Source organism: Homo sapiens, chromosome 6, assembly GCF_000001405.40.
Source record: "Homo sapiens chromosome 6, GRCh38.p14 Primary Assembly".
NCBI lineage: Eukaryota > Metazoa > Chordata > Mammalia > Primates > Hominidae > Homo > Homo sapiens.
In genome coordinates, this window is record NC_000006.12 from 17,397,049 (window position 1) to 17,422,201 (window position 25,153).

Below are 25,153 nucleotides of genomic sequence, written 5' to 3' on the forward strand. Positions count from 1 at the left end.
AAGGTATTTATAATCTCGCATTCTCTTTTGAGATGGAGTCTCTCTCTGTCGCCCAGGCTGGAATGGAGTGGCACAGTCTCAGCTCACTACAACCTCCGCCTCTCAGGTTCAAGAGATGCTCCCGCCTCAGCCTCCTGAGTAGCTGGGATTACAGACGCGGGCCACCATGCCTGGCTAATTTTTGCATTTTTAGTAGAGAAGGGGTTTCACCATGTTGCCCAGGCTGGTCTCAAACTCCTGACCTCAGGTAATCTGCCGTTCTCGGCCTCCCAAAGTACTGGGATTACAGGCCTGAGCCACCGCACCCAGCCTAATCTTGCATTCTTAAAATTCAACATTAGGTCATTAAGAATTACCCACATTGGGCTGGGCGTGGTGGCTCACGCCTGTAATCCCAACATTTTGGGAGGCCGAGGCGGGCGCATCACGAGGTCAGGAGATCGAGACCATCCTGGCTAACGTGGTGAAACCCCATCTCTACTAAAAAATACAAAAAATTAGCCGGGCGTGGTGGCGGGCACCTATAGTGCCAGCTACTCGGGAGGCCGAGGCAGGAGAATGGCGTGAACCCGGGAGGCGGGGCTTGCAGTGAGCCGAGATCGCGCCACTGCACTCCAGCCTGGGCGACAGAGCGAGACTCCATATCAAAAAAAAAAAAAAAAAAAAAAAGAATTACCCACGTTGTTGCATGTAGGTATGTAATATTTCTTGGCAAATATTCCATGATTTATTTCACCATTCTTGTTGACAGGCATTTGGGTTGGTTCCCATGTTTTGCTATTACAAAGAATGCTGCTTTGAAGACTTTTTTTCCATGTGTCTTGGCACACATGTGCAAGAGTTCTTCACTGTGAATGTGCCATGTATTTTAATGGGAAAAAAAAAAAAAGAAAACCTGATTCTCCTTTGACTTACACATTGATGGCATGTAACCACTTACTCATTTCCCCAAACCAAGATAAAATGATTAGATCTGACATTCTGACTTCTCATCCTATTTACATTCTAGTTGTAAAAGTATTTCCCAACGTTTTAAGAAGTGTGGAAAATCTAAAATTTCACAACTCAATTTCACAGCAGAGCCTTTTAACCCGGTCACTCACGGACATCTTCATCTCCTTATATCACCTGGGTTTAGGATGAGAGGGAGGACAACTTTATTATTACATCAAAGGAACATTACTTTAATCAAAGTACATGAATAGTTACTAAACCTCATTAAAAGTTGCCTCGTATTGTATATCCTGCGGAGTGGTCTAGTATTTCCGATGTGATTTAGTTAGGTAAGTCTGATAACAATGAGCCTTGGGCAGATCTAGATCTGTCGTTGAGTTAGGCAGTGAGTTTTGCCATTCATTCAGGATATTTCTCCTTGAACTTAGAAGGAGGAAAGCACCTTAAAGTCAGAACAAACCATTATGAGGAATTTTAAAATTACTTTTACTATTTTAAGATATATATAAAATTTACGATTTTAAACTTTTTTTTTTTTTTGAGACAGAGTCTTGCTCTGTCGCCCAGGCTGGAGTGCAGTGGCACGATCTCCTCTCACTGCAAGCTCTGCCTCCTGGGTTCAGGCCATTCTCCTGCCTCAGCCTCCCAAGTAGCTGGGACTACAGGTGCCCACCACCACGCCCGGCTAATTTTTTGTATTTTTAGTAGAGACGGGATTTCACCGTGTTAGCCAGGATGGTCTCAATCTCCTGACCTCATGATCTGCCCACCTCAGCCTCCCAAAGTGCTGGAATTACATGCGTGAGCCACCGTGCCCGGTCCGATTTTAAACATTTTTAAGCATACTATTCAGTGGCATTAAGCTCATTCTCACTGTTGTGCAACCATTATTATTGTCCATCTCCAGAACTTTTTCATCATCTGAAACTGAAACTTTGTACCCACTAAATATAACTCTGGATTCTCCTCTTCCACAATCCATGGCAACCACCATTCTACTTTCTGTCCCTGAATGTGCCTATTCTAAGTACCTTATACAATATTTGTCCTTTTGCTACATGAGCTTTGTTTGTTTGTTTTTGAGACAGTCTCGCTTTGTCACCCAGGCTGGAGTGCAGTGGCACCATCTCGGCTCGCTGCAACCTCCGCCTCCCAGGTTCAAGTGATTCTCGTGCCTCAGCCTTCCCAGTGCTGGGATTACAGGCGCTTGCCACCCCACCCAGCTAATTTTTATACTTTTAGTAGAGACAGGGTTTTGTCATGTTGGCCAGGCTGGTCTTGAACTCCTGACCTCAGGTAATGCACCTGCCTAGGTCTCCCAAAGTGCTGGGATTATAGGGATGAGCCACCACGCCCGGCCTACATGAGCTTTTATATCCAGGGGAATTCCATCTTGTTTTGTTTCTGTCTTTAGTAGACACTTTTCCCACTTTAGGAAAATAATGGCTTCTTTCACTGAGAAATTATGTGAAGGGATTGTTTCCCTTTCAGTATACAGCCCTATACAGAAAGGGACATAGGACATTGTCTGAAACCAGAAGAAGAAATTATGACTATTATGAATGGGGTCTTCATCTGCCCTGTCTAGTTAATTAGGCATCTAATAATCCTGGCTTCTCATTGAACACTTAGCCACCTGCAGAAGGTGCACTAGCCCCTAATTCTTAAAATTTCACATTTACCTGATACATGGAGGAAGTAAATAACCTTTGATGTTCCTGTTAGCCCTCAGCTTTTCAGAATGTAAAGGCCATTCTGCAATATAGAAGTCTGATCTAAAATCTCTTTTGTTTTGATGGGAAGGGGTATTCTGAGAGGCTGAAGGAGGGTTCCAAGAGGCTGAACATAGAAGGGAGGTAACCTAAATGGCAGTTCTGAAGAGGAAGATGGTTCCTGGGGAAGTTAGATGCTGGAGACACCAAAGACAGACCTGTAGTGGCCGGGCATGGTGGCTCACGCCTCTAATCCCAGCACTTTGGGAGGCCAAGGCGGGTGATCACAAGGTCAGGAGATTGAGACCATGCTGGCTAACACGGTGAAACCCCATCTCTATTAAAAATACAAAAAAAAAAAATTAGCTGGGCATGGTGGCACGTGCCTGTAGTCCCAGCTACTTGGGAGGCTGAGGCAGGAGAATCGCTTGAACCCGGGAGGCGGAGGTTGCAGTGAGCCAAGATCATGCCACTGCATTCCAGTGTGGGCAACAGAATGAGACTCCATCTCAAAACACACACACACATACACACACAAAACAGACCTGTAGTACATAGACAGCTTTGTTGTCCTATTATTATGCACAGTTTAATGAGAAAATAACCTCTGTTACTTTGCATCATTCCATTTGGAGATCCAGAGAAATTCTGGGATCCATTGGTTGACTTACTCCCCCTATGTTGAGTGACTGCTATATCCCTAGCATCTGGGGATGCAAAAATGAAGATCAGTGAAGGAAGATAGAATGAATAGAAGATGACACTTAAGCTGTAAACATAAGTCACAAAGGATCTATTCGGATGATTGTCATCATTTCCTACTTTGTTTCTATTTAGTTTTAGTCAGAGAAGAATCACTGGATTCTTGGCCGGGCACAGTGGCTCATGCCTCTAATCCCAGCACTTTGGGAGGCTGAGGCGGGCAGATCACAAGGTCAGGAGATCAAGACCATCCTAGCTAACATGGTGAAACCCCGTCTGTACTAAAAATACAAAAAAAATTAGCCAGGCGTGGTGGCAGGTGCCTGTAGTCCCAGCTACTCGGGAGGCTGAGGCAGGAGAATGGCGTGAACCCAGGAGGCAGAGCTTGCAGTGAGCCGAGATCGCGCCATTGCATTCCAGCCTGGGCAACAGAGTGAGACTCCGTCTCAAAAAAAAAAAAAAAAGAATCACTGGATTCTTATGAAAATGAATTATTTTATCCTAAGGCAACAAGAACAGTTAAATTGGACCACACTAAGAAAATGAGATGATCAGATTTTTCAGAACCAGGTAAAATAGGCTTCCAAGTGTTGCATGTATAGTTCAGTCTGGTTATAGTGTGATATACTGGAGTTGGAGGCATCCATTTGTAATCTTAGCTTCGAAGCTGCTGTGGTCTGAATGTTTATGTCCTCCCAAAATTCTTATGTTGAAATCCTCACTGCCATTGTGATGGTATTAGGAGTGGAAGGCCTTGGGAGGTGAATAGGTCATGGGGTAGAGCACTCATGAATGGATTAGTGCCCTTATGAAAGAGAACCAAGGGAGACCCTTTGCTCCTTTCGCCAAGTAAGGACACAGCAAGAAAGTGCCATCTATGAGCCAGAAAGTGGGCCTTGATCTGCATTGATCTTGGACTTCCCAACCTCCAGAACTGTGAGAAATAAATTTCTATTGTTTATAAGCTATCCAGTCTGTGGTGTTTTGTTACAGCAGCCTGAAAGAAACTAACATAGTAACCTGTGTATTACCCAAACTGTGCAAGTGATAGATCAATATGATATAAGTGTGATCTTTCCATCGAATGTATACTGTCCTGGTATTGCTACTCACCCCTCTCCAGTGGCAGGAAAACCAAATGTCTGGCCTAATGAGTTAGGTTGATTGATGGACAGTTTCAACTGATTGGTTACTTGACATGAGGTAGGCTAAATGCAGATAGTCTATCTCTCGGCAGTCATGCTAGAAGCTGTGGCTAGAGATTTTCAGGGTACAATGCAGATCCACAATTATTTAGGCAATTTTTTTTAAGTTTACATTTTTATTTCTCCTCCATTTGAATTTCTTCTCTGTTTCTTAGTACTCCTCTCTGTGTTCAAAGTTCTCACTGTAGACAACCCTTCACTCCCCCTCCTTCCATCTTGCTTCAGAACAGCCTCTCTCTTCCTTAGGAATTCACTCCCCTCAATGCCTCTTTCTGAATGGAAGGTGGACAATTATCAATTGAAAGTCTTCAGTAATTGAAAATTTTAAAAAGAGACTTGTTAATAGTGTGAGTCTCTATATAATATATAATTGGGGATGGAACTCATTTTTATGCTTCTTATTTTGGTTCAGCAATCTTTAAACTGTGTGCATTTACTATATGCAAAGGTTTGCCAAAGGTACATGTGCACAGGTGCTTTGAGAATATAAAGGTCCAAATCCTCCTCTTCCATATGTGCTTTTTTCCTAAGACTAATCTTGATGAGAATGGACCTGTAATGGAGACGCAAGTTCTCTTTCCCATCTGCTTTTCCATAATCACCTTCCTCTTGCTTTCCTTGTGAAAAGCGTATGTCTACCCCATTTTCCTAATCCATTTTACTAAATGGTTTATGTCTAACCCATTTTAGTAAATTGCTTTGCCCAAGGATGTAAAACTCTAGGGGATGGGGAGGACAAAAAAGGGGGAAATTTCTGAGTATAAATTTCGTTTCAGGGGTGAGAAAGCAAATGACTGTAATGCCTGAGCAGAGACCCTTTTGCAAATCATGTGTTTTCTAAATCTATCTTAAAAAACAAAAAGTGAAGGCCAGTCTAATCAAATAGTAAACCGATATTAAAGGATAAACTCTAAAAAAGAATGAAATTTTGACTCTCATACAAATAAAAAATAGACATTTTCAAACTTATTTAAAAAATGAGAGAGCCAGAAAGGTTTTGCAGTCAGTTCAAAGGAGATCATTTATAAGAATGCTGGAATGAATTTGCTTAATACATGTAAAACTGGCTTCTTCCACAATGGGAGAGGGAAGGTGATTGGACTTCTACAGCATAAAGTTTATTTGCATGTCTGTATGACTTGCTTTACTATCAGTTTTCTGCAACTTAACTTATATCTCTACAGGGTTGTAAAATAGCTTAGTCAAACACAATGAATGACTGAGATGACCCAGATGAATAAGTATTAGGGTACTCATGAAATTTGTCTTCTCAATTTTTCCTTACATTGACAATTAAAATAAGTTTTGATATTTCACTACCATGTGATGTTGGAGTTCAAAAAATTAAGTGACATTTCTATAACAAAATTCCTCCCATTTCCATCTCCTCATTATGTTTCCCAGCATTACATTGATAAAAACAAAAAATAAGAATTAAATTGATGCTCAACATTGACCCATTTTATTTATTTTTATTTTATTATTATTATTTTTTATTGAGATGGAGTCTTGCTCTGTCACCCAGGCTGGAGTGCAGTGGCACGATCTTGGCTCACTGCAACCTCTGCCTCCTGGGTTTAAGTGATTCTCATGCATCAGCCTCCTGGCTAGCTGGGACTACAGGCGCGAGCCACCATGCCCGGCTAATTTTTTGTACTTTTAGTAGAGATGGGGTTTTACCATGTTGGCCAGGCTGGTCTCAAACTCCTGACCTCAGGTGATCCGCCTGCCTTGGCCTCCCAAAGTGCGGGGATTACTGGCGTGAGCCACAGCGCCCAGCCACCTGGACTCATTTTAATAAGTATACACATCCACATATCCATAAAGTTATGGAAAGTAAAAGTGTTCAAAAGAGAGAGATTTCCAATAAAGTTGCTTTTTATTTACTTTTAGTAATTATTTGTCAAAATTTGTAATATTTGTGTTGTTTTCTAAGTCACATCCTACTAATAGTAACAATGGTATCAGAATAGCTTTTTTTAAAAAATGTTTTGACCATTGAATTAGAATTTAAATTTAAATAATGTTTTTGATGCAGAAAAGTATGGTAGGCTAATGAGTAAAATAGGCTAAAGCATAAAATATGTAAAATTAAGATAAACTTCTGTAGGGCAAGAAGCGTGGAAATATAAGTTCAAGGAGAAAATGGAATTATGCAAAATTTGTGACTATTAAAGACCAGCCTGTTCCAGTATTCTTTTAAAATGAGTAAGAATGAATTTCACTGGACATATAAGATAGTTTTATATGGCCATATTTACACAGTGTTGGAAGTTACATTCTTTGCAACTATTCACATTTTGGTGACAGTTGCTATATGCCAATCTAAAAATGTGCAAGAGGCTTTTACAAAATTCTTTTAGGGTATATACAAGTAAAAAAATTGAAGACTCCTGTTGTAGCTCACCCTGCTGCTATTTTCTGACCAAAAACCAAGGGTCAGTAATTGTGGCAAAACCTTTCTAGCTCAGTATTGGTAAATGAACCAATTCATTAATTGACATAGTTCTAGTGACTCCTTGTTTTACTGGATGTCCCTAAGGAAGCCATTCAAGAATTAAAGGTCTTGGCCAGGCATGGTGGCTCACGCCTGTAATCCCCACCACTTTGAGAGGCCGAGGTGGGTGGATCACGAGGTCAGGCGTTCGAGACCAGCCTGGCCAACATAGTAAAACTCTATCTCTATTAAAAATACAAAAAATGGCTGGGTGCGGTGGCTCATGCCTGTAATCCCAGCACTTTGGGAGGCCAAGGCGGGCAGATCACGAGGTCAGGAGATGGAGACCATCCTGGCTAACACGGTGAAACCCCGTCTCTACTGAAAATACAAAAAAATAGCTGGGCGTGGTGGCGAGTGCCTGTAGTCCCAGCTACTCGGGAGGCTGAGGCAGGAGAATGGTGTGAACCCAGGAGGCCGAGCTTGCAGTGAGCCCAGATGGCGCCACTGCACTCCAGCCTGGGTGACAGAGCAAGACTCCATCTCAAAAAAAAAAAAAAAATTTAGCTGGACTTGGTGGCACGCACCTGTAATCCCAGTTACTTGGGAGGCTGAGGCAGGAGAATTGCTTGAACCTGGGAGGTGGAGGTTGCAGTGAGCCAAGATCGCGCCACTGCACTCCAGCCTGGGTGACAGTGTGAGACTCCATCTCAAAAAAAAAAAAAAAAAAATTAAAAGTCTAAGTACTTATGACACGTCTCAAAAGAGGATAACAGCCATTACATTTTATTTATTTCTTTGTAGGCAGTTATATCTTTACTTTATTCATCGTTATTGTTCTCCTCTTTGGAGGCACTCACCAGAAGGTATTGTATGAGTGTATATGTATAACAGACAGACAGCACTACAGTATTCCCCACTTATCCATGGGGGATACGTTCTAAGACCCCCTGTTGATGCCTGAAAGCATGGATAGTACCAAATCCTACATATACCACGTTTTTTCCTATACATAGCTACCGTGATAAAGTTTAATATATAAGGCCGGGTGTAGTGGGGCACGCCTATAACCCCAGCACTTTGGGAGGCCGAGGCGGGTGGATCACCTGAGGTCAGGATTCGAGATCAGCCTGGCCAACATGGTGAAACCCCAACTCTACTAAAAATACAAAAATTAGCCAGGTGTGGTATAGACGCTTGTTAATCCCAGCCACTCGGGAGGCTGAGGCAGGAGAATCGTGTGAACCCAGGAGGCAAAGGTTGCAGTGAGCTGAGATTGCACCACTGCATTCCAGCCTGGGCGACAGAGTGAGACCCCATCTCAAAATTTAAAAAAGTTTAATGTATAAATTAGGCATAGTAAGAGATTAACAATAATAACTAATAATAAACTAGAACTTCATTGCAATATACCATAATAAAGGTTATGTGAATGTGGAGTCTCTCTCTCTCTCTCTCTCTCTCTCTCTCTCAAAATATCTTATTGTACTGTGCTCACCTATATTTGGACCATTGTTGACCATGGGTAACTGAAACTACAGAAAGTGAAACTGGGCAAAGGGCAACTACTCTATTTGGATCTGTAAATGTGTAGCTTTCACCAAGTTTGGAAGTTTTTGGTCATGATTTCTTCTTTTGTTTTGTTTATTTATTATTTTTATTTTTATTTAAAGCACAAAAGCATAATGTTTTGTTTTTTTGAAACAGGGTCTCACTCTGTCACTCAGGCTGGAAGGCAGTGACACAATCTTGGCTCGCTACAGCCTCGACCTCCTGGGCTCAAGTGATCCTCCTGTCTCAGCTTCCCAAGTAGCTGGGACTATAGGCTCAGGCCACCACACTCAGCTAATTTTTAAGTTTTTTGTAGAGGCGGGGTCTACCTATGTTGCCCAGGCTGGTCGTGAACTCCTGGGCTCAAGCGATCTCCCTACCCCAGCCTCTGAAAGTGCTGGGATTACAGGTGTGAGCGACCGCGCCCAGCCTGAGCAGTGGTTTATATCTACTTCAGTTTGCAAAGCCTTTGGGACCGTCCCACACATACACAGTTCAGGGACTTGTGCTGGTTCATACACAGAGCCAGGGCATCCCCTTCTTTAGCTCTCGTCTCTCTGGGATTCTCGCCACACACCTCTACCCCAAGATCCCTTTTTCCTGTTCTTCTGGAAAGACTAGATTTCTTTTAAAGTTTAAGGTGCTTATGCTGCTGTAGAGTTCTCCAAGACTTGGGGCCATCCTCAGGACAGAGTAGCGAGAGGAATAAAATACCAGGAATTCTCCCCATACTCTGTGGACCACAAGGTCCCCTGTTCCCCTACTTTTCTGTCAGTAAGCCCAGATTTCTTTTTTTTTTTTTTTGAGGCAGTCTCACTCTGTCGCCCAGGCTGGAGTGCAAGGGTGCAATCTCGGCTCACTGCAACCTCCGCCTCCTGGATTCAAGCAATTCTCCTGCCTCAGCCTCCTGCATAGCTGGGATTACAGGCCCATGCCACCACGCCTGGCTAATTTTTGTATTTTTAGTAGAGACAAGGTTTCACCATATTGGTCAGGTTGGTCTGGAACTCCTGACTTCATGATGTGCCTGCCTCGGCCTCCCAAAGTGCTGGGATTACAGGTGTGAGCAACCTCGCCCTGCCCAGGTTTCTTTAGAAAAAAAGTTTCAGGTGCCTGTGCTGCTGCTTACTGTTCTGCCACACAGTTCTGTGACTACGGCCACGCTTGGGAGAGAAAAATGCAAACAAAACCCAAAACCTGGGCTTGCCTCACACTCTTCTATTAGCCAGGGCCCCCTTTCCAGTTCCTCTGGCCAAAAAGAGGAGCTTCTGTTGGAGTGTTTGCTACCTGCACCCCCACCCAATTCTGATTTAAGGTCGACCCTGAAGAAAAAAATGAGAAAAAAACCAGCATTTTACTCCCAAATGGGTTCCCTTTTCAATTTTGATTCTTCTCAATTCATGTACTATTGTTTTGTCTTTTGGAATCAGATAGTTGCCTTTTGTATTTTGAACACAGTTTGGAGAGAGGCTGAAGTGGGCTTCTTCCTTCTTGAGTGTCCCTGGTAGCCCCTTCCTCTTTTTGAAGCTTTCTCTTGTTTCCTTTTTCTCCTCTGTTTCTTCCACACCATTCTTTTCTTTCCACTTTACCCACTTTCTCTGTTTCCCCTTTTACTTTGGGCTCCCAGGTTCAAAGAGCAAAAAAAGGAAGAACCTGTAGTTTTTTAGTGGTCAACAGCATGAGTTGAAACCCCTGATTGATTGTGTTGAAGTAATAAATTGAAGCTGGGTGTGGTGGCTCATGTCTGTAATCCCAGCACTTCGGGAGACCGAGTCAGGAGGACCGCTTGAGCCCAGGAGCTCAAGGTTGCAGTGAGCTATGATTGTGCCACTGCACTCCAGCCTGGGCAGCTGAGTGAGAACCTGTCTTGAAAAAAAAAAAAAATGGCCAGGCGCATTGCCTCACGCCTGTAATCCCAGCACTTTTGGAGGCCAAGGCAGGTGGATCACTTGAGGTCAGGAGTTCAAGACCAACCTGGCCAACATGGTGAAACCCCGTCTTTACCAAAAAATATAAAAATTTAGCTGAGTGTGGTGATGCACGCCTGTAATCCCAGCAACTCAGGAGGCTGAGGCAGGAGAATCCCTTGAACCTGGGAGGTGGAGGTTGCAGTCAGCTGAGATCCTGCCACTGCACTCCAGCCTAGGTGACAGAGCAAGACTCGGTCTCAAAAAAAAAAAAAAAAAAAAAAAATCAAAGTCAAGTGTGAAAGTAGACCCAGGAAGCTAGAGACACATGAAGAAGCAAAAGGGGGCTGGAGGAATGCTTGGGCCAAACTGATCACCTGGCTATTCCATCACACTTGGATTTGTTGGTAATTTCTATTCATAAAACTGGCCCAACACTTAAGAACTGATCTTTAGGGCTTTTCTTTTTTCATTTTCTTTTAAGAGAGTTGCTGAATCTTTTATTTAATTGCATATAATTACAATGAATGCTGGTAAATTTTGAGATTACAAGGAATTTCAACAAACCTTATTACTCGTTATCTAAGTCCATTAGTATTGCTATAAAGGATACCTGAGACTCATTTACAAAGATTAGAGGTTTGTTTGGCTGACAGTTCTGCAGGCTGTACAAGAAACATCTGTTTCTGGTAAAGGCCTCAGGCTGCTTCCATTTGTGGCAAGAGTTGAAGGGAAGCTGGAATGTGCAGATTACACGGCGAGAGAAGAAGCAGGAGGAGAGGAGAGGTGCCAGGCTCATTTTTTCCTTGCCACTCTACAGCTCACAAATGGATGCCAGCCTCTTTTTAACAACCAGCTCTCCTGGGAACGAATAGAGCAAGAATTCACTCTTGTGAGAATGGCACCAAGCCATTCATGAGGGATCTGCCCTCATGACCCAAACACCTTCCACCTCCCACCTCCCATTAGGCTCTACCTGGGGATCAGATTTCAACATAAGTTTTGCAGGGGGTCAAACAAACCAGACCATAGCACTCATCATTCCAGAGAGACAAGGCATTCTTCACATTGAAATGACAGAATTTGATAAAGTAAAACATTCCTAGTCATGAGAAGTAACTGACTATATGAAATGATAGCCTCCTTTTTTTTTTTTTTTTTTTGAGACGGAGTCTCACTCTGTCGCCACACTGGAGTGCAGTGGCATGATCTCTACTCACTGCAAGCTCTGCCTCCTGGGTTCATGCCATTCTCCTGCCTCAGCCTCCCGAGTAGCTCGAGTAGCTTGGACTGCAGGCGCCCGCCACCATGCCCAGCTAATTTTTTGTATTTTTAATAGAGACGGGGTTTCACCATGTTAGCCAGGATGGTCTTGATCTCCTGACCTTGTGATCCGCCAGCCTCGGCCTCCCCAAGTGCTGGGATTACAGGCGTGAGCAACCACGCTCAGCCCTATGATGATAGCCTCTTATGCTTTCAGTCCATGGTGCTTTTGATATCCCCCTGCTTGCAGTCTGCGGTGATTTTGCAGTGTGCTTGTTCTGTGGCCTGGTTTGAGAAGTGTGGTGTGTGAGGCTGGGCGTGGTGGCTCACGCCTGTAATCCCAGCACTTTAGGAGGCTGAGGCAGGCGAGTCACCTGAGGTCAGGCATTCGAGACCAGCCTGGCCAACATGGTGAAACCCCATCTCTACTAAAAATACAAAAATTCACCAGGTGTGGTGGCAGGCACCTATAATCCCAGCTACTCGGGAGGCTGGGGCAGAAGAATCACCTGCGCCCAGGAAGCGGATGTTGCGGTGAGCCGAGATCACGCCACTGCACTCCAGCCTGGGTGACAGAGTGAGACTCTGTCTCAAAAAAAAAGGAAGTGTGGTGTGTGAGATGTTACCATCATTGTGTCTGGAAGATAGAGGAGGTAGTAACACTTACCATGATAATTCAGGGATTGAGCACTCACTGGGTACAGAGCACAGTGATGAGTGCTGTGGACCATTCAGAGGGAAATTATAATAATGACATGTAGGCATCACTTTGTAGTTGCAAAGTTCACTTCATGGTCTCCTTTCACCTTCCCAAGAATCCTGAGGCATGTATTATTATTGGGTAGATAATACTTATGACATATTTCCAGAAGGCCCCTGAGCTTTAGGTCCCTACTCGTAACTGCCAACTGTAGGCACTTCAAATGCAGATCCTCTAACTCTGAACTCCTCTGACCTGGGCACCTCCGCTCCCTAACTCTATTTTGATTGGCACCACCTTCCCTGAAGCAAAACATCTAAGATATCCTAGCTTCTCCCTTTCCCTCCAAACCTCCAACCATTTAATCTTTTCTCAAATCTTGCCTAATCTAAACTTCCCTTAGATCTTCTTCAACCCGCTGTCACTTTATTCCCAACTCCCCTCCCGGCCCTGACTACCACCCCTTCTAACTACTCATCAGTCCCTTGTTTCTCATGCTCTGTTAGATAGCTCCTGGCGCATAATGAATGTTCCATCAATATTTACTCGTCATTCATGCTTCCATGCGTTTGCATATGGAGGCATAGGCGGTGGGATGCCTTTACTTATTTTTCTTCTTCTGAATACCATACTCTCATCTTTGAGACTTAATTTGGTTCTTATCATAACTTTGGTAGCCTCTCTACTTCCCAGGGCTCAGTTGCATGTCTACCTTTCTTGAGCTGCCTGTCCCACATGCTCCCACCACATCCCTGCACACCTCTGTTACAGTAATTCTCAAAGTGTGGGCCCTTGTACTCTGAAGAGTGCTTCTTAAAAAGGCAGATTCCTGGGAATACCCAGAACTACTGCATCAGTATTGCTGAGAGTGGGGCCCAGGAGCCTGCATTTAAGAAGGCTCACCTCTCCCCCAGTGATTCTTACGCAGATGAAAAAGAGTGGTGAGAATCAATGTTTTATTCTCTCACCTGCCTTGGCCTGTACAACTAGTTCCAGGAGTGGGGAGTATGGCCACTTGGAGCAGTATCTGGGTAGGTTTCACCACCACTTCTGACCACTGGGAGATGAGAACAGCAAAGTTACTCAGATTTAATTTTTTTTTTTTTTTGAGACGGAGTCCAGAGCTGGAGTGCAGTGGCATGATCTCGGCTCACTGCAAGGTCTGCCTTCCAGGTTCACGCCATTTTCCTGCCTCAACCTCCCGAGTAGCTGGGACTACAGGTGACCGCCACCACGCCTGGTCAACTTTTTTGTATTTTTTTGTAGAGATGGGGTTTCACTGTGTTAGCCAGGATGGTCTTGATCTCCTGACCTCGTGATCTGCCCGCTTCGGCCTCCCAAAGTGCTGGGACTACAGGCGTGAGCCACCATGCCTGGCCAGATTTAATGGTTTTTAACTGTATCTTTACAAAGAGGCACAATCCTTTTTCATTTGTTTGTTTTTAAACCTTTTTTGAGTTATAATTTTATATGCCATAAAATTGACCCAATTTAAATGTCCTAACCTACTTTCTGTCTCTATAGATTAGCCTTTCCTGGATATTTCTTATAAATGGAATCATACAATACACAGTCTTCTTGTCTGACTTTCATTTAGTGTAATGCTTTTGAAGTTCACTTGTTTTGTTTTGTAGCATGTATCAGTATTTCACTCTTTTTTATGGCTGAATAATACTCCATTATAATACATATGCCATATTTTGCTTAGGCATTCACAGGTTAATGGACATTTGGATTGTTTCCATTTTTTGGCTATTATGAACAGTGCTGCTATGACATTTGTGCACAAGTCTGTGTGTGAACATATATTTTTATTTCTCTTGAGTAAAATAGAGTGGAATGACTGGTTCATATGGCAAATATGTGCTTAACTTCTGAAGAAACTTCCAAACAGTTTAAACCAACTGTCCCATTTTCCATATTCACCAGCAATGTCTGAGGGTTCCAATTCCTTCATATTCTCACCAGCACTTTTTATTATCTGTCTTTTAGGTTATAACCATACTAGTGTGTGTGAAGTGGTATCTGATTGGAGTCTTGATTTGCATTTTCCTAATGATTACTGATGTTGAGCCCTTTCACATGTGCTCTTGGCCATTTGCCTGTCTTCTCTGGGAAGATGTCTATTTAGATATTTTGCTGACTATTAAACTGGCATATTTGCCTTCTTATTGAGTGTAAAAGTTTTTTTATATATTCTGGATACAAGGGGAGTAACACATTTACTTGATGGAGGGAGAATGGTTCACGACCCTCCTGCCCAGTCTGTAGTGGCCTGGCCAGCAGGTTCTCCATGGCTCTTCTTTTCTCAGTGCCAGCGTGTGGCCCTTAGGGGACTCCTAGAAGCAGTTCTTTGAACTCTACCTCCTCCATGGTGTAAACAAGCGCAAAGGGGCAACGTGGGGACACAGAAATAGAAAGAGCTTCCTCAACTGCATAGGTGCTTAGAAAGGGCTATAGAGGGGCCTGGGGAATGAGCTCCTCTTCAGTGAAGGGTTTCTATCTCGTGTTTAGCTAAGCGAGCTTCCACTCCATGACAGGGGAGTAGTATATGGTTTATCCTGGCCCTGGTCAGCATTCAGAGTCCTTTATTTTATGGCTCTGCCTTACTCAGCCCCATCACCCCAAGTCAGTGCACAGAGCCAGGATTCGAGATGTACTTAGCCTTCCCCATGGCCTCAGTTCTCACTGGGCTCCCTCCTGCCTCAGTAGCCCAGTTCCCTGTGGCCCAGTGCCATGGACAGCTGGCCAGCCCCCAGTGGCTGAACTGTCTACTCCTCAAGGAGATTGTGCCTTGAGGACGCAGTCTGTGTCTCATCCACCTGTGTAGCCCCAAGCCAGTACCGAATGTAGCTCAAAACACCTTTGCAGACAATTTTCTTAAGCCACTGAATGAGGAAGAAGGAATGAGTTCGTATATTGGAAATAGGAAAACTGAGACTCAGACAGATTAAGTAGTCTGTCTACTAGAAGACTCAAGACCTCCAGAATCACGTGGGTTGTCAGTGAAGGGGCTGGATCTCAAATTAAGATTCTCTAATCCCCAGAGTTCTTTTTCCACTACATTAAGTTATGAGTCCTAGCCTTTTATCTTCAGACATTTCAACTTAGAGGACAAATGCTTAAACTACGAGGCAGATCAGAGATGGTTCTGAGGGGTGATACCTCCAGAGTGGAGGGGGCAAATGGGATGGTGAGGTAATTGTACATGTGGTTTAGATGGAAATGTCAGGGAGTAAGTATTTCTTATTTCAACTTAGAGGAGGAATATTTATATATAAGGCAAATTAGGGATGGTTCTGAGGGGTGAAACCACCACAGTGGAGGGGGCAAATGGGATGGCGAGGAAATTGTATATGTGGTTTCGATAGTCGATGGAGATGTCAGGGAGTAAAGACCTCTCCAGAGATTACTCTGATTTGTGAGACACTGCAAGATCTCTTGGAGGAGCTGGGATTTGAGGATTGAAAATTAACAGTGCTAGGAAGAACCTTAGAGGCAGCAGAATCATGGCATAGGAGAGGGATAGGGTAGGACACGTTTGGGACTTGGGGAGTTGTCCCTGTGGCATGTGGGTATCTCAGGAGCATGGGGAATTGTAGCTAGAGAGCTGGGGTGAGATCTTTCTGAAGGTCAAGCTGAAGCATTTTTCTCCTGCAGTGAGACCTGATTAGAGGCCCTAGAGGAGTCAGTTGGCTAACCAGGATCTCATACATGTTTTCTCCAGTTTCATGAAACATTGAGAGTGTTCTTTTTCTTATATAACTTTCTGGTCTCAGCTATTCTGATTACACCATCTCAAAAATCAGAGACTCTTGAAACATCTTTGCAATAAAAAGAAAATGGTGCTTTTTGTTTGCTGTTTGGCGAGAAGCTGGCTCCAGAAATGCTCTATAGGAGAGTAAGCAAAAGATACGAAGGCGGGCACCTTGGCAACGTGAATGTATCTCTTAGTTAAACAGCTTCCTGGCTTGACTGAGCAGGGTTTGCTTTCAGCCCCCTCACACTACAGTAGGGCAGGAAATGTTTTTTAATCAGCCTTAGTTTTCTAGATATGAGCATTGTGCCTAGTAGACAGTGGGAACTGACTGATTGAGTGAATGAAACAAACATATTCAATGAGCCAGTTAAAAAATGAATGAATGAATACTGTGATGGTTTGTTTCTCCTATACATACCATTACCCAATTAGTAATAGTGAATCACAGGGTTACTTCTCCCAGTGCTTGGTAGTTTCCTGGGAAATAAAAGAAAGTCACTGATACGGTTACTGTAAAGAGAATTTAACAATTGGCCAGACGCAGTGGCTCACGTCTGTAATCCCAGCACTTTGGGAGACCAAGGCAGGTGGATCACATGAGGTCAGGAGTTCGAGACCACCCTGGCCAACATGGCGAAACCCTGTCTCTGCTAAAAATACAAACATTAGCCTGGCATGGTGGAGGGCGCCTGTAATTCCAGCTACTTGGGAGGCTGAGGCAGGAGAATCACTTGAACCCAGGAGGCGGAGATTGCAGTGAGCCAAGATTGTGCCATTGCACTCCAGCTTGGGTGACAGAGTGAGACTCTGTCTCAAAAAAAAAAAAAAAGAGTTTAACAATCTAGGACAGTCTGATTTGATGGTAGTTTACCAAATATTTTAAATTTTGATGGACTTACAGAGAAATTAGTCCATTGTAACTTTATTTTTTGCAGAGAGTTCACATATAAACCAGTTGCCCAGCCTCACTATGAGAAAAGGTTTGAAAGTCTCCAGTTTCCTGTCACTTCAAGTCTATTTCCTTTTTTTTTTCTTTATTTCTTCTTAAAAAAAACACTTTAAAAAATGGGATACATGTGCAGAACATGCAGGTTCGTTACATAGGTATACTTGTGTCATGGTAGTTTGCTGCACCTATTGACCCGTCCTCCAAGTTCCTCCCCTCAGTCCCCATCCCCCAATAGGCCCTGGTGTGTGTTGTTTCTCTCTTTGTGTCCATGTATTCTCAATGTTCAGCCCCTACCTATGAGTGAGAACATGGGGTATTTGGTTTTCTGTTCCTGTGTTAGTTTGCTGAGGATGATGGCTTCTAGTTTCTTCCATGTCCCTGCAAAGGACATGATCTCATTCCTTTTTACGGCTGCATAGTATTCCATGGTGTATATGTACCACATTTTCTTTATCCAGTCTATCATTGATGGGCATTTGGGTTGGTTCCATGTCTTTGTTATTGTAAATAGTGCTGCAATAAACATATGTATGCATGTGTCTTTATAGCAGAATGATTTATAATCCTTTGGGTCTATACCCAGTAATGGGATTGCTGGGTCAAATGGTATTTCTGGTTCTAGATCCTTGAGGAATCGCCATACTGTCTTCCGCAGTGGTTGAACTAATTTACCTTCCCACCAACAGCGTAAAAGTGTTCCTGTTTCTCCACAGCCTCACCAGCATCTATTGTTTCCTGACTTTTTAATAATCACCATTCTGACTAGCATGAGATGGTATCTCATTGTGGTTTTGATTAGCTTTTCTCTGATGATCAGTGATGTTGAGCTTTTTTCTTATGTTTCTTGGCCACGTAAATGTCTTCTTTTGAGAAAAGTCTATTTCCTATTTAATCTTAGATTCATGATCTTCAGAAGCCCTTGGATCTGGGTCTCTCTTGCAGAATTGGAAGAGAAACACTCACTACCATTATTTCTGTATTTTTGGCCTAGTGAGGAGAACTTTCAGCTAGCAATCAGGAAACCTGAAAGACCCACCTCTTTTATTAACATGAAAATGTTATCCAAGTAGCATTATCTCTTACTTGTTTTGTGAACTTGTTGTGAGGAATTTACAAAACCCTTTAGACAATGTGGAGTTTTAACACAATTTGAAATCCTGAAGAAAAAGGAGCCATGGAAGAGACCCAAAGGCTTACATTAGAGGGAGCAAGTGTGCTCTTTCAAGTCATGGGAGGGAGCCACTGTGGTTCCAAGTAGGAAAAACTAATCTAGCATCTTCTTTTAAATGAAAATTTCTCCTATGAAAATCTGGCTTTCAGCCTGATCTGGAATGGTGCCAGTGAGTGGGCAGGCAAAGAAAAGACAGTGAGTGGTAGCTAATTAATTAGTCAATCAAAAAGTATTTATAGTTCTCTAGGTATAGGGCACCATGCTGGACTCAGTGGGAGATGCAAAGAAGAGTAAGACCCAACCTCAGCCCCTGAAAAGCTTGCAGCCGGTCTCCTTGGGAGGCGAGGTGTACAGGTGCTGACAGGAAAGAAAGCACAAGGCAGGTTTTTAATTGGGCCGTATGTCTCACAGATGCAAAATAGGTAATCCAGGCACATAGGTTGTTATTCTAGGCTTATCACCATTGACATTGCGCCATGGAGTGTCAACATTCAGAGCATCTGTGAAAGCTGCTTTTATAACTGGTTAGAGTGAGCTAGTTAAGGGCTTAACAGACCCTTCACCAATGAGCACAAGATGGGTTGGGTGAAGAAAATATGAGGGATGAAGGAGTGCTGCTAGTTTCCAAAAATGACCCCAAAGAGATTGGGCCTTCATCCTTTGCTGTTTAGAAGCAAAAGAGTCATTGTAAAAATGTTCAGAGGGAAAATATGTGTAAATATGTTCAGAGGGAAAAATAACGAATTACATACCACAATTTTCATTTTATGGTAACCGCACATACACGTAGACTTGAGAAAACTCTTTTAAACATGTTGGAGGAATAAGTACATGGGCAGAGGAAAATGAAATGTTGGGGACAAAAATAAGGCTATACTGACCTGAAGTTTTCTGTTAGTCATTTCCATTGACCAGATCTTCTAGATGACTGCTTGACATTTCAAATATAACTATTCCCACTGACAGCAAAATGAGATGGGATGACTTAATAGCTGCAGCGAACGTTCATTATGACCATGTTCCAGACTTTCTCTACCTTTATACTTAATGGCAACCCTGTGTATAGTATACCTCCTGGCTCAGATGCAAATAGTCATAACTGTGTTAACACTGGATATCGATCACAGAAAAACTGTGATATAACACTATTGGGAGGACAAGACAAAAGGCAATACGCATGCAGGTGGTAGTGAGGACTGGGCAAGCAAAAAGTAAACCCGTGTATTTTTGGTGGCAACTCAGTAGATAATGCCCCAAACTGAAGAAAACCAAATAATACACAGAGATAGAGTCATGTTATTTAGACATAAGGGGGAAGGGAGGGTGTGATTATCAAAGAAACAGTTAAAATTATTGAAAATGGTTAGCACTTATGACACAGAATGGAAGAGGGTAGAACTATTGATTCTTTAAATTATGTGCATGTCTAGCTTTGATAAAAATAAAAATTAGCCTGGATGCCATGGCTCATGCCTATAATCCCTTTATTTTGGGAAACTGAAATGGGAGAATTGCTTGAGCCCAAGAGTTCAAGACCAGCTTGGACAACATACAGAGACACTGTCCCTGCAAAAAATGAATTTAAAAAATTAACCAGATGTAGTGGCATGCACTGTAATCCTAGTTACTAGGGAGGATCTTTGGTGGGAGGCTCCCTTGAGACCAGGAGGTGGAGGCTGCAGTGAGCTGTGATTGTGCCACTGCACTCCAGCCTGAGAAACAGTGAGACTCTGTCTCAAAACAAAAAACAAACAACCTTGAAAAGTGAGGGGAAAATTCAGATAAGAAAAAAAAAAATGACCCAAAAGGAGGATGGGTGCACTTCTCATTATAATGAAACTCAAAAGAGAATACAAAAAAATTAATTCAAAACAAGGAATTAACATTAATCTCAAGTACAGTTTTTTAAAACTGATTTTTTTTTTTTTTTTTCTGAGACAGGGTCTCATTTTTTCACTCAGGCTGGAGTGCAGTGGGGTGAACACGGCTCACTGCAGCCTCGACCTCCCAGGCTCAAGAGATCCTCCTGCCTCAGTCCTCCAAATAGCTGGGATTGTAGGCGTGTGCCACCACACCCAGCTAATTTTTCCATTTTATGTAGAGATGGGTTTCGCTGTGTTGCCCAGGCTGGTCTAGAACTCTTGGGATCCAGCGATCCACCCGCCTCTGCCTCCCAAAGTGCTAGGATTACAGGCATGAGCCACTGGCCCCGGCTCCTAAAACAAATTGTGAAAAGGAGAAAGTTGTGCGATGTTATGTTCCTTCCTCTTTTTTCCCCACACACACTCACACTCTGGTCAGGTGTTTGTGTATATCCTTTGACCTTTCCTTGCCATCGGCTTCTACTTAAATAGGATGACTAGAGAAGATCTGGGGGGACAAGTTTGAGCTGTGTCATCTAACCCAGTCTCTTCATTCTCCAGCTGTGAATCTGGCTTCTCTTTGTTCTTCACTGGGTTCTTAGAATATCTTCTTTCCTGCCATCTTGCTGTATCCCCCTATTCTGCTGGCCTCCTGAAGCAAATTCCTTGGTCTATCCCCCTGGCTCTGACTCATTCCTTACCCTGACCTTGCTGTCTGTATTTGCTTTGACTACCCTATGAGTTTCCTCAACCTAATTCTTAATTCCTGGCTGCCACCTCCTTGTCAAAACTTGGCTAAATCCACTTTGGAATGCTAAGGCGGATGGGACTGCCTGGGAAGAATTTGGAGAATCTGCAGCTCTGCTCTTTCCTCATTCTTGAGAGCCAGGCTAGTGGCTGAGGGTATATCGGGAGACAGACAGGGAGAGAGACAGAGAGAGTTTGGAGAGAAGGCGGCATGATCATCCGATCATCTTGGGCCCCATCAGTCTCCTTGGGAATGCTAACATGTCTCCTGGTATAGTCTTTCTTTTATTTATTCTTCAGTTTATCTTAGAAACTGTTCTGAAAGTTTTAAACCCAGAGACATCTCTCCAACTTCCTTGCATGAGCTGTATTTTGACCGCCTTAGGGGCTGTGGCAGGATTTCAGTCTTGCTTGTGGTGATTTTACATGGAGTGACATCTGAGTCGCTTTTCGACTGCATTCCACACCAATCTGTCCAGCCCTGCAGTTTGTGGGCTGACTCCTGTTGTCTTTCAACATACGGAGCACTATGAGATAGTGCGAGTTTGGGTCTTGTCAGGGAGTCTGATTAAGCCACAGTCAGAGACGGCAGTCCTAAGTGTGAAATGTAACAGGCCTTCTCAAGACAGCTTCATCTGTGAGCTGCTGGAGGTGGCTGGTGCCATTCTGTTGGGAATAGAGGCTTGCTAACAAAGCAAACATTTTTTTTTTCTATCGCAGGCTAGGTCTATGGTGGTAACATTTGGCAAGTTGAGTAACAGGGAACATAGATAACTGTGAACAGATGGGCAACTATTAAAAGATTTGAGGGGCTTTCATCATTTCTCAAATGGCCTTCACCCACCTACAGGATACCCAGCTCCCTTGCAAGAGGATTACGTAAAGGATTCAATTACATTTCTCTTTCCTTTTTTTTTCCTTCAATTGCGATGGAAGCACAAGCTCTGACGTGAAGAGGAAAAGAATAGATGAGAAATTTCTAATTTTGAATCCCCTTAGGATTAGATGCTGATTTCAGCTGTGCAGAGAACACTGCCCCATATTTTGCAAGAGTAACTGCTGCCAGTTTCAGGAGAGATGACTTTCCAAAATAGACAGTAAACTCCGCCCTCCATAGCTGATGACCATCTGACATTCAGACAGAATTACAGAGCTATACAAGTTTTGATAAGTATAACCTTGCTTTTGAAAAATGGCAGTGGCACGTCATCACTGTGTTTAAGCTCAAAACTGACGGACTACAAAACACATAAGAGAAATAAATGTATTGCCTGGTCCCCAGCAGAAACATAAAATATTTATCCATCTGAGAGCAATTAAATTTATTTACCCCTGCTTTAGGACAGCAGTGTCTCTGATTCAGAAGCATGCTGTTCCTCTTTTGCTCAGAGTGATGCTTGGAAGGTTCTTAAGAGGGAGAAGAATTCCAGGCACTGATTAAGAGGAGGCTTGTTGTCGTCTCTTAAGGAGCAGCAGCCTGATTTTGCCAAAAGCAACCATAAGTTGATATGGCCGGGGTTAAGGTGGCTATAAGCTAGATCTCAGGAACCTGAACAAATTAGATTGGGTTTCATTCCTCAGAGGTTGCCTTAAAGACATATAAATTCTAGGGCCAATAATCTTAATATAAGTTTATAATTTTAGTCGGTACTTACCCTATGCACACTCATTTAATTTTCTGTTTGGAAGCAGGAAGCATGGATACCCTGCCCCCTCGCCATTTTTTTTTTTCCTAGACGGAGTCTTGCTCTGTCACCCAGGCTGGAGTGCAGTGGCGTGATCTCAGCTCACTGCAACCTCCACCTCCTGGGTTCAAGCAATTCTCCTGCCTCAGTCTCCCAAGTAGTTAGGATTACAGGTGCCCGCCACCATGCCTGGCTAACTTTTTTATTTTTATTATTTTATTTTATTTATTTATTTTTGAGACAGAGTCTCACTCTGTCGCCAGGCTGGAGTGCAGTGGCACAATCTCGGCTCACTGCAACCTCTGCCTCCTGGGCTCAAGTGATTCTACTGCTTCAGCCTCCCAAGTAGCTGGGATTACAGGCGTGTGCCATCAAGCCCAGCTAATTTTTGTATTTTTAGTAGAGACGGGGTTTCACCATGTAGGCCAGGCTGGTCTCGAACTCCTGACTTCGTGATCCGCCTGCCTCAGCCTCCCAAAGTGCTGGGATTACAGGCGTGAGCCACCGCACCCAGTCACCCTGCCCCATTTTTATCCCCAGTCCTCTAATCAGCTTTAATCCCTATTTATCCCAGCCAAGAGTACTGGGTAACTGAAGATCCCTGTCTCTACAAACCACCCCACCTAAGACTAAATTTTGCTTAAACATAACCAGAAGCCTTACAAAAGGAAAATAACCATTTGTCATATTTTAAATTAAAACCCTACATTCAGAATAATTATAATTTAAAATAATTCAGCAACAGAAACACCAAAACAAACCAATCAGTAATAAGTGGAAAACAATTAGCTCTTAGAGGTGATGGCCTCTTTGCCTGCTAAATGATGCTCAGAGTCATAAACTCAGTTCTCCTGGGCAGGGTTGTTTGGTTTTATGTAATTGAGTAAACAAGGATTATCGGTAGGTTTAGTCTCCCCTGGAGAATTATACTTTAACAGAAGGAATTATTGGAAATAGTGAAAATACGCTCCCACCATTAGCAGAAGAAGAGCTGGCAATATTAATTTTTCCATATATGTTTTGTGGGCTTTTAAAAAGTTAAGTGCTGTACATAGATTGTGTCATATAACAAGGAAGCATCCACACAGGCACTTGGAAGCAGTATAAAGGGAGTGAATATTTGTGTATTACCTATTGGGCTTGTAATAATCACTAATGGAATAGAAAATAAGCTCAATATAATGCCAATTTTTTTTTGTTCCAAGTTTTAGGTTCTTTTGAATTTCACGTATTTTTCTGATATTTAGAAATACTCTGTAGGTAAATAAAAGACGCATGCACACACATTTATAGCAGCACAATTCGCAATAGCAAAGATACGGAACCAACGTTAAGTCTCCATCAACCAATGAATGGATAAAGAAAATGTGGTATATATGCACTATGAAATACTAATCAGTCAAAGAAAGGAACAAAATAATGTCATTTACACTAACTTGGATGGAGCTGGAGGCCATGTTATTCTAAGTGAAGTAGCTCAGGAATGGAAAACCAAATATCATATGTTCCTCACTTATAAGTGGGAGCTAAGCTATGAGGACGCAAAGGCATAAGAATGATATAACGGACTTTGGGGACTTGGGGAAAGGTGGGAGGGGGATGAGGGACAAAAGACTACACATTGGGTACAGTGTACACTGCTCAGATGATGGGTGTATCCAAACCTCAGAAATCACCACTAAAGAACTTATCCATGTAACCAAAAACCACTTGTACCCACCCCCAAAACTACTGAGATTAAAAAGCAACAATAATACATACAATTTCATGGTTAAAAAATAAAAATAAAGCCATCCCCAGTGATTGTGTCTTCCTCCTCGCTGTTGTTGAGACTGATGGTGTTGGTTTACTCATCCTCCCTGATGCTCACGCAGCCTCCATTTGTGCCTGTGCTTTTCTAGAATGGCCAACATGCAGGGACTGGTGGAAAGACTGGAACGAGCTGTCAGCCGCCTGGAGTCGCTGTCTGCAGAGTCCCACAGGCCCCCTGGGAACTGCGGGGAAGTCAATGGTGTCATTGCAGGTAGGGTCACAAACTGTTGTCATTCCTGGTCTTCTTGTGGGTTACTTCATTTTGTTTCCATAATTTCACTCTCAAGGAACATTTCTATTATCCTTCAGCTTCCCTACTCCTTCCATCGTATGTGACCATAACATTAACCAGAGGCAAGCAATCCCTGAAAAAGAGAAAGGAAGAAAACCTTTCAACCCACAATCCACAACAATTATCAGTATCTGTGCCTTTTAGAGACAGGGTCTCGCTCTATCACCCAGGCTGGAGTGCAGTGGTGCAATCATAGCTCACAGTGACCTCAAACTCCTGGGCTCAAGGCATCTCCCTGCCTCGGCCTCCCGAAGTGCTGGGATTACAGGTGTGAGCCACTGTGCCCAGCCTCAGTGCCTCTTAAGAGCATATTCATCTTTCTTTCATTTAGTGTTCATACTGCTGTCCCGCACTCAATGACTAAATATGTTATCTACATAATTATCAAAAAAGAAACTAATGTTCTTGATTAGAATGTAAATTGGAAGGAATTATCATTCTGTA

At 43.1% G+C, this 25,153-nt stretch overlaps 1 protein-coding gene across 3 annotated transcripts in view, besides 1 other annotated feature; it reads left to right on the forward strand.

Annotated features, from left to right (window-relative positions):
* Positions 1–25,153, forward strand: part of CAP2 (cyclase associated actin cytoskeleton regulatory protein 2) — a 164,186-nt gene that overhangs the window by 3,454 nt on the left and 135,579 nt on the right. For all 3 annotated transcript variants that reach the window (NM_006366.3, NM_001363533.2, NM_001363534.2), the window contains exon 2: positions 24,507–24,628. In NM_006366.3, the coding sequence (NP_006357.1) occupies positions 24,508–24,628 (121 nt within the window). In that variant the 5' untranslated portion in view covers position 24,507. The remainder of the gene's footprint in view (positions 1–24,506; positions 24,629–25,153) is intronic.
* Positions 20,770–21,064: a silencer, noted in NCBI's record as "tiled region #1209; HepG2 Repressive non-DNase unmatched - State 23:Low". NCBI's record gives its function as "represses a minimal TATA promoter and a strong SV40 promoter by Sharpr-MPRA in HepG2 cells {active_cell/tissue: HepG2}" and the evidence as "EXISTENCE:reporter gene assay evidence [ECO:0000049][PMID:27701403]".